The 13877-nt window shown below is 43.9% G+C and overlaps 4 annotated features.

The window, feature by feature from the left end:
- Positions 7667-7756: an enhancer, noted in NCBI's record as "active region_27988". NCBI's record gives its function as "activates an Ori minimal core promoter by ATAC-STARR-seq in GM12878 lymphoblastoid cells {active_cell/tissue: GM12878}" and the evidence as "EXISTENCE:reporter gene assay evidence [ECO:0000049][PMID:35858748]".
- Positions 7807-7856: an enhancer, noted in NCBI's record as "active region_27987". NCBI's record gives its function as "activates an Ori minimal core promoter by ATAC-STARR-seq in GM12878 lymphoblastoid cells {active_cell/tissue: GM12878}" and the evidence as "EXISTENCE:reporter gene assay evidence [ECO:0000049][PMID:35858748]".
- Positions 10474-10618: an enhancer, noted in NCBI's record as "145 bp enhancer 239 fragment used in the MPRA reporter construct; PK_construct_3773". NCBI's record gives its function as "activates an SV40 promoter by MPRA in K562 cells {active_cell/tissue: K562}" and the evidence as "EXISTENCE:reporter gene assay evidence [ECO:0000049][PMID:23512712]".
- Positions 10541-10551: a transcriptional cis regulatory region, noted in NCBI's record as "NFE2L2 motif; enhancer 43 activity is reduced when this motif is scrambled". NCBI's record gives its function as "necessary for full MPRA enhancer 239 activity {active_cell/tissue: K562}" and the evidence as "EXISTENCE:site-directed mutagenesis evidence [ECO:0005528][PMID:23512712]".

The following is a 13877-nucleotide window of genomic DNA, read 5'->3' as shown; positions in this document are numbered from 1 at the left end:
AGCAGAAATGCAAAGACAAAAAAAGCACATTTGCTATTCATCTTTTGAATAGTAAAATAAAATTATCAAGACAGTATTTTGAGCAAGGCACAGAGAATACTTAGGATGTGATGTGGTGGAAATCCCACCCGATAGGGAAATTGCTAAGCTTTCCAACCCAGTGCAGAAATAAGAAAAAGGTTGGGAGTACGCAATCAGACACGTGTGCAATGGCTTCCACCTCCAGAATTCCAAAGCAGAGAAGCAGACAGTTGGAGGGCTTTGCTGCACATCCGTGATACCCTGGTCACCTGCTAACACGGGGCAGTCACACAGGCTTGATTGGTGATTAGCACAGACAAGGCAGAAAAACAACCTAAAGTGCCCTCCTGAGGTCCATCAGCCCCTTCCTACCCACAGCATGGAAAGGACCCAGAAGCCTATGCCTTCCTGGTGAGGGGAGTGGAAGGTAACTGCACTGAGAACCCCAGCAAACCTCACAAAGCCATGTCAGGAAGCAAAGTGGCAGAGCCACAGGGAGCACGGGGGAAGGCAGGATAGAGCACAGGCAGCATGTGAGGAGACAGAAGCAGAGACAGGGAGAAACAGAGAGACAGAGAAAGAGGAAGAGAACAGATCCCAGATTCACCAGCTGTGTCTCAAGGTCATCTGGGCAAGTGACCTGGAAACCATCCCAAACCATCCAGAGATCAGCAGGGTAAACCTTCAGCCACCCAGGCCTCCTTTCCCACAGCCACAAAGGTACATAACTCCCCTTCCCAGCCAGACGCCACCTTAGGGAGGAAAGGGGATGAATTCTGGATGACTAAGCATTTGCCAAAATGAAAGTAAAAAATCGTCTAAATCAGAAGAGACTGAGATATAATTTATTGGCAAATAAAATTATTTCTGTCCTACCCCATCTTCCTGGCTTCCTCCCAACCCTCTATCCTATGCAATATGGGCTCATAACGATTCATCAATTATTGAAAATATGAACAAAATGAAAAAGAGGGAGAGTTATTTAAAGGTAGACTATTTCATTACTTATTGGATATGATTTGAAAATAAAGGCACAGGACAGGCACATTTTAAGTGAGAAAGACTTTGCTAAGACCTCATCGCATCACTCAAGAAGCTAGGTTGTGTTACAGTGAGCAATAACCCAAAATTTCAGCAGCTCAGGACCACAAGCATTTATTTTCTACTGTCACCACATGTGTCTTGTGCGTTGGTGGGTTGATGCTCCCTGAAATCCTTCAGGGACCCAGGCTAATGGAACAGCCACCATCTGGAATTTTGCCAGTTGCTATGCAAAGGGAAAACAGCTCAGAAGGGTCTCAAATCTGCAATTTAATGCTTGGGCCCAGGATGATGCTAACTACTACTCATAACTCATTGGCTGGGGCTAACCCCACTGCCCCACCCAACCACAAGGGGGCCAGAAACTTAATACTACCATGTGCCGGAAAATATTTGACCAATAGCATTAATGATTGCCCAAAAAGAAAAGCGAACTTTATTAATTCCTCGTATCATGCTGTTTCAACATCAAATGATTCAAAGTCAAACTGACTGCCTGTATAAGCTGATTAATTGGCTAAAAGTTTAAACAGCAGCAGACAGTAAATCATAACATTAGCCACATTGTTAGACTAAATTCTCCAAGGCCAGATCAGAATCCATGTCACATTTGTCTCTTTAATCTGCAGAGCATAGTGTTTATTAATATTCTTTAAGAAATATTAAATCCAGCCCTAACTGGTTTGTGCAAAAAGGAAACTGATTGGCTCATGTAGCTAAACAGATCTGGGTTTCAGGCTAGGCTGTATCCAGGGCTGAAATGATGTGATTGAGACAGTTTCTCTCTTTGTTTTTCAGCTCTGCTTTCTTTGCAGAGCCTCTATTCACAGGCAGGCTCTCCTCTTGGGGTCCCAAGATGTCTTCCAGTAGCTCCTGCAGCTTTGTGGTTGGGGGCAGGAGAAAAGGCTGCTTCCTGATAGTTCAAAGAAAAGTCCCCTAGCTGAGTCATGTGCCCATTCTTGAACCCATTACAGGAGGTACAGGAGCCAGGGGAATGGATTATTTGAGACAGTGTATATCAATCAGGGCTCACTCCAAGAGATGGAGATGAAAGTCAGGAAAAATGGATAAATTTGCTGAATACTTAGCATATGCCAAATAGTGTCCTAATAATTCTACAGAGTCACTTGATCCTGACATCAATCTTATGAGCCAGCTTTTACCATGATCTCCATTTCATAACAGAGGAATGGCTGAGTAAGGTCAACTCAGGTGCTTATGTTTACACAGTGGTAAGTGGTAGAGCTGAGATTCTAACCCATGCATTCTCACTAGGGAGCCCACACGTGTAACTACTATTCAAACTGGCCCTGTGCCCATCGCACCCAAACTCCTTGACTGGGAAATGTGTGGTGCAGTGGGAAGCAGGGAATTGCTGCTGGAAAGACAACCAGATCATGTCTGCCATAGTGCTCAAAGAAAAATAATTTTAAAGTTACAGAAAGAATGAAATCTGCACTATACCAAAATTGTATACAATTTTTACACAAAATTGTATAATTTTCATTAACATCCTGATTATGTAAACATAGAATCAACTATTTACACTGTTTCCCTAGACGTGCTGCACAGACATTTTAGTTGGGGCGTTCTTTCAGTCGTGTGTTTAAAAAGCGACTGTCACATGAACCTATGAACAGCCCTCTCCACTTCCACGAGGCTTTCCTTCATCTTCCCCTCTGGCTCCTGTTTCTTAAATCTCCAGGGTTGTGTCTACAAACCACTTGAGGTGCATTTGCATTTTCTCCCCACTTGTCTCTTTAGAGAACAGGAAAACTCCTTCCAGAAGCCACTCCCCTCATAAACATTTTCCTTGTATTTCTTTGGCCAAGACAAGTCATCTATCATCCCTTAACCAGTTATTCTCAAAGGGGGATGGAATTAACATAATTGGCTAGATTAAGCAAGACTCATTCTCTAGGCTGTGCACTGAGACCTCCTCTTCTAAGCCTGCTGCCAATATCCAAATCAAACTATCTTCTGTTAAGTAAGGTAGAAGGGGACAATGGCTGTGGGTAAGGACACATGTCTACCACTGTCCCACACCACAGCTGCTGCTACAGAGACCCCAAGAGAACAAGGCTGCCCCGCCAAGGGCATTATCCTTTTTCTCTGATAAGAGTGACTGAAGCTGCTTCCTGAGGACTTCTGCCACCACCGGACACTTCTCTATCACCCTCTTTCATCACCTCTGGTCATCAGCTTCCCCTGCAGATGTCCCCAACCACCACACTTAAACCTCTGCACCCCAGACGTGCCAGAGCTTCTCCAAGCAGCTAGCACAAATTGCTGGTTCATCTTATTCCTGGCTTTGTGATGAAGTATTAACTCTTAAGATTCTATGACGAGAAACTCTAATGATCCACATTTTACAAGAGAGGAAACCGAGGCTGTGAAAAGTTAAGCGAATTATCCAGGATCATGCAGCTAAAACATGCCAACACTTGAATTCAAAGCCAAGATAACTGAACTCTGGATTCTGACTCTTAACTATCACCTGTCCTACCAGGGTCATTTATAGGGATGCAGAGGACATAATCCTTTTGCATTTCTCTGGTCTGTGAGCAACAAAGCAGCTCACCTACTCTATGAGTTCAGTGAAAACCATTTTTCCATTTTTTGACTTACACTGCATTTGTCCCCCTACCACTCCCCCAAGACTCCTCAGACACAAGGCAATGATGGCAGGCCGAGACCATACCCTAGAAATAGACTCTAGACACACAGCCATATTGATTTTGAAGTGGGCCCTCCCATCCATTATCTAGAGCTTTTTTACAAGTCGGAGTTTCTCCTCAGTTTCTTCTTCCTGTTCAGTTTCTGCTTCCATTAGACTCAGTTCTTCTCCAGGAGGCTTCTCAGCCCCTCAAACAAATAGACTTGCAATGCCCCCACCACCTCCACCCCTGTCAGCCTGATCTGCCCAAATGCGTTGGAATGCCTGCCCCACAGTAGATACTGCCTGGGCTCCCTTTATTCTATTTCTTATTAATTATTATTCTGCTTGATAATAGTAACACAAACACCTTACATTATTGTTTTTCTAAAACACTATATAAATTACATCATATCCAGACAGAAAGATAAAAGCCACATAAAAACATTCTGGATGTTTCTTCTATGATTTTCCTAATCTGGGCACAAGAATCCTGACCAAAACTTCCAGGGAGGGTCTATGCAGTCCATAACTCAGAAAGGATCTGTAACCTGAAATTTTATTAGTAACCCAGATAACAACTGGATGCTAAGAGATTTATGTGTAATTAGCTAAAATCCCCTTTCTATAGTCTCTGGAAGTCCAGAACCCTCTTTATGGTTTCTGTGTCTTTCCAGAGCTTCCTCTCCTGACTCCCTTTAGTCAGTGCCTACATCTGCATTTGCTATCACTGTTTTGGATCATCTCACTCAAACTCAACTTCTTATCCTGTTTCCATAAAATACATACTTCCAGTAGACATTTGAGAGTTCACTTAAATTATATTAAATGTTATTAATTTTTAAATAAATAAAAATTAAGTAAATTTAATATTAACTTCAATAATGAATTAAATATTAATTAAATCTACTGAATATTTGTGGCTCACGTGACAAGATAGATTCAGGAGTACACCACTGTATTAAGCTACTTTGGCTGCCAGAACAATATACCACAGGATGGGTGACATAAACAACAGAAATGTATTCCTCATAGTTCTAGATGCTGGTGCCAGCTCAAGGTGCCAGCTGGTTCAGTTCCTGGTGAGGGCTCTTTCCTGGCTTGCAGACAGCCCCCTTCTTGCTTTGTCCTTTTATGGTCTTACCTCTGAACACGTGCAGGAAAAGACAGAGAAAAATCTTTCTCTCTCACCTTCTTTTTATAAAGCCACCAATTCTATCAGATCGAGACCCCACCCATATGACCTCATTAACCTTAATTATCTTCCTAGGGCCCTATCTCCAAAGAGTCACATTGGGGTTCAGGGCTTCAACATGTGAATTTCAGGGATATAAAATTCAGTCCATAGCAATCACCTTCCACTATATCAGTCATGCTTTTCTGCCTTTTCTTGTTTTATCTGTTTCCTCTCCCCTCTCTCCCTGCCACTCTAGTTGCACATGGAAGTACATATCCTGAATCCTCTGTTGTATAGAGCAATCCTCCCAGTCTACAGCTCCAGTTCCCAAATCTCCAAATTCAAATCAATGAATATGTTCAATAAAATTAAGGTCTCCTCTAAGTGCCTTTATAGAGAATATAAATATTCCTTATGTAGACAAGAATTTGGAGAATATATTAAAGACGACTCATTTAGTCTGCCTCTCTAGAGCTTCCATTCATTGGTTCTAATTCTATCTTCTAGAGTGTATTAGTTAGCCCTGGTACAATACTGCATGTTTTTAATGCCAAAATTTCAGGGGCCTACAACAATAAAATATTTTCCTCCCTTGCAGGTTTACAAGTCAGCTGTACCAGTTCAAGCAGCTGCTTTGGGCTATAGTTAAGTTCAGGTCTGTTCCGTGCATCTCTCATTCTGGGGCAAGCTGCCACCTGAGCCTTGCTCTTCTCTTGGAAAATGCAAGAAGCCAAGCCAAACTGCACAGGCCTCTGCTTGCATTATGTCCACTCACACGCCACTAACCAAAGTGCCAAGTCCATCAATGCAAAAGGGAAATGTACTCCTCTCTCAACCCCAGGGAGAGGGATGGGAAGATCATGGCTAGAGGGCAGCGTAAAGGAAGAGTTTATGAGCACACAGCACAGTCAGCCGTATGGATCAACATGGAATGAAGCAATTCTATGCACTCCTTCTGTCCACACTGTGTCCCTAGACATTTTAGAGCAAATCCAAAAATCTCTTTCAAATTCAATGATTCAGATAAGTGTCCCTGCATTACAGACTCCTCCCTCATCTGGAAGGCTGGCAGTAGAGTCTCCAGAAAAGTGTGTCTGGACTATGACATGATATGAGAAGGATTAGAAAGCATGGATATATGGAACCCTAGCTTCTCAGACGTAGAAGCGCCTTGGATCAGTGTATGCTTCTCATATCCTAGAACACTGAAGTAGACAGGTGGAGCTGCTCATGGCCAAAGGCATTGTGTCCAGGGAGCACTGCCACCCCAGCATATTCCTGGCTGCCCCTCAAGTTCAGAGATCAACGTCCCAGCACACTTGGAACTCATCACTGCTCACTAGTAAGGAAGATCTGCTACAGAGACCTTCACCTTGACACTCTGAAGCTAGAGGACCCTTAATAGCATCTCTAACAGGTGGTCCTCCACCCTCAATGTATCCCCCTCTCAGGGAAGGATACTCACCTCTCCCAAGGAAGCCCAGACAGTTTTGCACATCTCTAACTGCTTGACCCATTCCTTCATTCACCAGACATGCTATTTTATACCTGATACACCAGCCTCTGTCCTAGATCCTGAGATACAGAGAAGGGTCATTCATGGCTTCTCCCTCAAGGAGGACTTGTGGTAGTGAGAGAGACACAGCACACTCCAGTTATTGTAATATGAAGAATAAGTGATATGTGAGTCAAAGAAGCACCCCAAAAAAGCATGATCTAAGATATTAGAATTATTTATGTTGAGCTGAAGTGTTTTTTGTTTGTTTGTTTGTTTTTTGTTTTTTTTTTTGAGACGGAGTCTCGCTCTGTCGCCCAGGCTGGAGTGCAGTGGCGGGATCTCGGCTTACTGCAAGCTCCGCCTCCCGGGTTCACGCCATTCTCCTGCCTCAGCCTCCCAAGTAGCTGGGACTACAGGCGCCCGCCACTACGCCCGGCTAATTTTTTGTATTTTTTAGTAGAGACGGGGTTTCACCGTTTTAGCCGGGATGGTCTCGATCTCCTGACCTCGTGATCCGCCCGCCTCGGCCTCCCAAAGTGCTGGGATTACAGGCGTGAGCCACCGCGCCCGGCCGAAGTGTTTTTTGTTTTTTGTTTTTTGTTTTTTGTGTTTTTTTTGAGATGGAGTCTTGCCCTGTCACCCAGGCTGGAGTGCAATGGCGTGATCTTGGTTCACTGTAACCCCCGCCTCCTGGGTTCAAGCGATTCTCCTGCCTCAGCCTCCCAAGTAGCTGGGATTGCAGGCACATGCCACCACCCCCTGCTAATTTTTTGTATCTTTGGTAGAGACGGGGCTTCACCATGTTGGCCAGGCTGGTCTTGAACTCCTGACCTCATGATCTGCCTGCGTCGAAGTTTTTCTTTATGTAGCTGCTACCCATTTGTCCTACTGGCCCCATCCCTTTAGGAAACCAACCTAATTTCTCTTCTAAAGAGCATCTTAGCTGATATCTGAATCTACTGACCATTCATTTACCCCTATGTCTCCAAAGGGGAAAAGATTTGAGGTGAATCTAAATTTTCCAGATGGTAGATGATTGGCTCTATCTATAGGAGATCATCAGGAATGGTAGAAAGAGCATGGGTTTTGGGGTCAGATGCTTCCAGGTGTGAATCTCCCAAACCTTAGCCCTCTTGCAAGTCAATTTCTCAGAGCCTCCAGTTCCCGATCTGTGAAATGAGACCATAGCATCTCCCTTGTAGAGCCATAGTGGGGATTAGATGAGCTGGTGCGTGACTCACAAAGTTACTGGCATGGCACAAGCATTACAAAAATGGTATGGTGCTTCCCCTCTTTGCAATTCTCCAGCAAGCATGTTTGACCTTCAGTAACCTACTTTTGCTCAAAAACTGGTTATCATTTCACTTCACCGCCAGGTGGCAGTATCTGAGGCCATTGGGATTTCCTTCCAGCAGCTAAAGCAATAATGGAAAAACAACACAATATTAAAACACAGCTAGTAAGTGATAACTGGCTTCCAAACCAGAGCTCCAACATAATAAATATTTTCTCATCAAGCAGAACCTGCCAGCAGTATTTGATTTGCTTTGTAGCTGGGTGTTACATGATAAAGTGACTGAGCAGCCTGCTAATTCCGGAGCCGCGCTCTCAGTGAGGAGGAGAGAAATGATTTATGGAGAAAGCAAAAAGCAATGGTAGGAATCATGCCAGGTATGGTGGCTTATGCCTGTAATCTCAGCACTTTGGGAGGCCGAGGTGGAAGGATCACTTAAACTCAGGAGTTTGAGATCAGCCTGGGCAACATAGTGAGGCCTCGTCTCTATACCAAAAGAAAAAAAAAAGAGTCTAAATAAAAAAGAAGAATTTTAAAAAGCAATGGTAGGAATCAAGAATAAACTGTAATGGTTTTAAAAATTAAAATAAAAGATTCTTAATTTTAAACCACAACCTATAAAAAGGAAAAAATGAGAATCAGAAATCTAATCCCTCGTGTTTGGGAACCAACCTGAATAGAGCCTGGTGTAAAATATGTTTTTCACGGATACAGCCAGATATGCCGCAGATTGTATCATTTGTGTAAGTCGACAAAGGTATACCTTACCAAGTGTCTCCCATGTGTCAGGCCCAGGATTAAAAACATGATGGTACAATATGAAAAGAATCTTAGCATAAGATTGTCCAGAACACTATGGAAGCATCCAACGAGGATCATGAAGGCTTCTCCAGAGAGATGACATTTTAGCTAAGCACAAAGGGAGTGGACCTGCCGTGGTGAGTGGATGCTGGTAGGACACAGGAAGGGGGCCCTTGGAGAGGTACCCAGAGAGGCAGAAAGATGATCCAGGTGGAGTGAGCAAACATCCAGAGGTGTGAATGATCTCATCTAAATAACAACATCCAACTCAGAAGACAGGGGAGGAAGTGATGGGAAAGGGGCCAGAAAACTAAGCAAAGCCACAGTTAGCAAGAGGGTATGAACAATATAGGTAATAGAAATTATAAACACCAAAGACTTTCAACAAACTGGAAACCTGGTCAGATGGTGTGATGGTAATGATAATGACCCAGCAGTGTATCAATAGCTTAACAGACATTGCCTTTTATAATTCTCAAAATAATTCATCACAGGGGAATAATTACTTCCATTTTATAGATGAGAGCCAGAGGTTTATGTGTGTGTCCCAGTTGATAAACGAAGCGCCTTGCAGTTAGGAGTCAAACCAGGTTGCCTGACTTCAAAGCAGATGTTTCCAACACTGGCATATAATGGAGTGGAAGAGTTAGTATCTTGGAAGATTAACATGGTTTTATTTTGTTTTATATTGTGGTCCTCATATTTCCTTGTACCCCGTGTTCCTTTCCCTGCATTTAAGCAGCAGGCACAACATTCAGTGTTCCTTGGCTTAAGGAAGAAATGACCCAGAGGAATGCGGCCAGAACAGAAGATACGATTTTGGGTTTTCCGTTTTTAAAGCCTTAACTCTCGAAACAAGAGAGTTAGAAGAAAGTGTAGTGAGGATGGACTATTATGCTTTGGGTTTTCTGAGACCACAAGAAGCTTGCCTGGACCAGGTTAAAGACAGAAGAAATAAGGAGATGTGGATCCCATCCCCATCCCAGCCAGGAGTCCAGGGAGTGGGTGAGCCCCCGCAAATAGGTTTAGAGAAGTCAAGAGAAGGCAGAGTCTGTGGAGCCACAAGCCTGTCCCCAAGCCCAAGCTCAGAATGGCGTGGGACCAGAAGACATGCCTGTACGGTAGATCTAGATATACCTTATGGCAGCCTCACAGGGCCCCCCATGCCTCAGTCTGTTGTGAGAACAGCAGAATTAGACCAGAAATGGTGTTTCGTTTACACTACAGTGGGTCAGGGAATGGTAGAATATTCTCCCATCCAGAGGGTCAAAGGAGGACTGACTCATGGTCAGACACGAGAGAGGACAGAGCAATGGACAAATGACTGAGGCTCTAGGGGGAATGTCAGCCTGCAGCCAGGACACCACCGGGCTCCAGGTGCCTCCTCCACAAAACTCCCAGAGCTCAGATGCATCCCCAGACAGCAACGCCCAAGTGGACTGAAATTATCTTTTCTGCACTTAAACCTAGCAGCAACTTGAAATCAAAACTAGAGTCCCTTGTAGGAGAAAAAAAAAAAAAAGTTACATTTCTGGTCACACCTGAGGTCTTGGACCTAGATTCGTTTCTGCTGTGGTATGAATCTAGCAGCCTCCACATGTGAGCAGAGCGGTGGTCTCCCAGCGGGCTTCCGCAGAAACTCCTAACAAGCACTGCACGGTGCCACGTGAACATCTTTCTCGGCTGCTCTGTGAAGCAGATGGTTCCGCTGTGGGTGATACCCAGTGGTAACACTCTTTATTTAGTCTGCCAGGTCCCTGAGAGTGTTCATTTCTGTTTGCTCAGAAGTGGTTTACAGTGGCTTCTCTGGTTGGAACATCCAGACCTAGGGGCCTTCCAACCCCTGTGGATTGCTGCTTTCAGAGTCAGGAAGGGTGGAGGCAGCTTCCCTTAGGAGGACTCTGGGTATTTCAGAGAGCCTTGAGCCAGGGGTCGGGAAGCCTAGGTCCCCATCTGGGCCCTGTCATAATCAGTGCAGGGACCTTGGCCAAGTGAGTCAACCTCTCTTTGCTTCGGTTTCCTGTCTTAAAATAGAAGATATCATTTCTTCGCTGCTTAGTCACGGCAGTAAAATGAGGAAAAAATGAGGTCAGGAGCGGAAAAGCTGGAATAGGGGCCAGAGAGCAGCTTCACGCAGTCCCAGTACCCTTCCCCTTCTTTCTTCTCGCCTTCTGCCATCATAGATTTCAGGGTGCATCTTGCTTTTTTGGACTGTGAGCTCACCTCAGCTGTGGGAGAACATAAGAAGACATAGTCCTTACCCTAAAGAGCTCTCCAGCTTACAAATCGCCTGCACAAAACCCTCCTAGGGCTTCCCATTATTCTCGCAGCAAGTTCCAACTTTCCTCCAGGGTCTACACTGTGCCCCACAGGACTTGACTCTGTGCCTTTCTCCGACTGTTCTGTGGTGGGCAGGCCTATGCAAGCCTACCCTCAAGGGAGCTGAGAGGCCGAGGAAAGAGGCTAACAAATCCAGTTCCTCGGAAGAAATATCTACTAAGGACTTATATACAGAACCGAAGCCTTGGAGGGCCACAAAATGGTGGATACTTGCACCCGCCCTCCAGAAAGTATTCTTTATATAGCAAGACTTTAGGGTAAAACATGCAGCTGGTCACATCTTCAGACTTTCTTGCCACAACTTGTGACCACTGGGGAGCTTAGATAAGCATATTTATGAAGGGTTATCTGCTACTGGCATTGTTTAAAGAGCTTAATGCAGAACACCTTGGTACGTGGGAGTCAACCGTCAGTGATCACGGTGGTTTCTCTTCAAGATGGTGTCACTACTGCCATGCAATAGGCAGTTTCCTGCACCAAACTCATCACCTGTGAGGCCACTTTGCCCACTCGGCTCCCCCACACCGGCATTCTTCCTGCTGTCAAATGCTCCAAGTCTGTTCCTGCTTTAAAGCCTTCATGTTTGCTGTTCCCTCTGGCCAGGACATCCTTCCCCCAGATCTTTCCACACTCATTCCCTCACTTTCTTCAGGTCTCTGAGCAACATCATCTCCTCAGAAAGAGACATTCCCTGGCCAAAAATTATACCTGCTCCATGACCTACTTTTCTTTTATCCTGCATGTCTCTTAAATATATAGCTTCAGAGCATATACTCTGTCGTCTTGTCTATTTGTAACTCAATAAGGGCAGAAATTGTCTGTTTCATTCATCTATATATCTTCAGCACCTAGAACAATGCGTATATATATGCTGCCACTGCTAACAAGGACTGTTCTAAGGTTTAAATAAGATGATGTGTGTATGTCAGATGCTTAGCACAGGGCTGCTGTATTAGTTTCCTGTGGCTGCTGTAACAAATTACAAATTACCACAAACTTGGTTTTAAACAACAGAAATGTATTTTCTTACAGTCCTAGAAGTCTGAAATCCATATCACTGGGCCAAAATGGAGGTGTCTGCAGGGCTGTGCTCTCTCCAGAGGCTCTAGGGGAGAATTCGTCCCTGGCCTGTTTTGGCTTCTGGTGGCTGCCAGCATTCCTTGGCTTGTGGCCACATTCCTTCAATTTTCAAGGCCAACATCTTCAAACCTTGCTCTCTGCCTTTATGATCATAGTGCCTTCCCCTCTGTGTGTAAAATCTCCCTCTACCTCCCTCTTGTAATGATATATGTGACTGCACTTAGCATTCACCCAAATTATCAAAGATAATCTCCCCATCTCAACATCTTTAACTTAATCACATCTGCCAAGATCCTTTTTGCCCCCATATAAGGTAAAACTAACTCACAGGTTCCAGGAACTAAGACATGGACATCTTTTGGGGCTAGCTAGCTAATCTAGCTGGGCAAACAATAAGTGTTCATAAAATTTCACCTGATCATATTACAAATTTTCCTCAACTAGACTTTTTTTTTTTTTTTTTTTTTGATATGAGGTCTCACTCTGTCACCCAAACTGGAGTGCAGTGGCGTGATCTCGGCTCATTACAACCTGTGCCTCCTGGGTTCAAGCGATTCTCATGCCTCCGCCTCCTGAGTAGCTGGAATTACAGCCGCATCCCACTGGCTTATTTTTTTTTTTTGTATTTTAAGCAGAAGCAGGTTTTTACTGTGTTGGCCAGGCTGGTCTCAAACTCCTGGCCTCAAATGATCCACCAGCCTTGGCCTCCCAAAGTGCTGGGATGACAGGCATGAGCCACCGCCCCGACCCAGCTAGGCCATTTTAAAGCTTTGGAATCTAGATGAGATTTAGTATTAAAAAGCATATGCAACAGTGCATTGTATGTATTTTTACCTCTAAAAAAAGGTTAATAAAATGATGATGTGTCTTACTAATATGTCTTAAAATCAAAGAAATGTTGTGTTATTGTTGAGGAATTGTACCTATTATATCGTAGGGAGAAAGTGACAAAGATATATCCTTCTCCCACCCTGCAAACACCCTGCACGCACGCACACACACACACACACACACACACACACAGTCATATACCCACAGACATTAAGTTGGTTGCAAGGTCACAGAAAAAAATTAGTACATGGCAGAAATTTTTAAAGAAGGGTTGAGCCTAAGGAGTTTCTGGAATTTGTCCTCATTGGTTGGCAGATCAGCTAACCAGAGCTCAAGGAACATGGGTTCTAAAGGCTAAAGATTGGAGCAGAACAATCCTATACTTTGGAAATTGAGATTTAAACAACAGCAAAGAGAAAAGTTAAGAACTCATCAATCAATATTTATCTCTGATAGAAGGATGTGACCAAAATGGAACCTGAGCCAGCAAAGATCAGCAGGGGACAGAACTGCCCCTTGCTCGTTTTCTCAGTGAGACCTCTACCACACTCTCCACTCCAGCAAGTCATGAGTAGCTACCAGTGCCAAAAAGACCGCCATTCTACTCCCCTGCTTGGCAAACAACAGCTCATCTTTCAGTTGTCAGCTTTAACATTGATCATATCCATATCTGACCATCCAGTCTACCTTCCACCCACACCCACACACACACACACACACACACACACACACACACACACACTCACACTCCACCCTATCCACCTCCTGTATTTGAAACCCAGGCTTTACAAATCAACCCCTCCAGGCTGCAGGATGACTTTTTAAGTAAAAATATTATTTTTAATTGAAAAATCATAATTGTATTACATTTGTGGAGTACAATGTGTTGTTTTGATATATATGTACAATGTAGAATGATCAAACCTGAGAGTAAATTTCAAATGTATCACCACAAAAAAATTGTTAAGTAAGTGAAATGGATATTCTGAATGACTTTGAATTTCACAAAACATTGCAAAAATTTCTCTGCCTCATTGACTCTTTACTTTAGTCCTTTTTCTTCCTCAGTTTTGTTAAAGGATAATGGACAAATAACATCGTGTAAGTTTAAGTTATACACCATGATGATTTGATATAT

This window comes from Homo sapiens, chromosome 8 (genome assembly GCF_000001405.40).
Source record: "Homo sapiens chromosome 8, GRCh38.p14 Primary Assembly".
NCBI classification, from domain to species: Eukaryota; Metazoa; Chordata; class Mammalia; order Primates; family Hominidae; genus Homo; species Homo sapiens.
The sequence above is the reverse complement of the archived record's forward strand: the minus strand, read 5'-3'. Positions and strand labels throughout refer to the sequence as shown.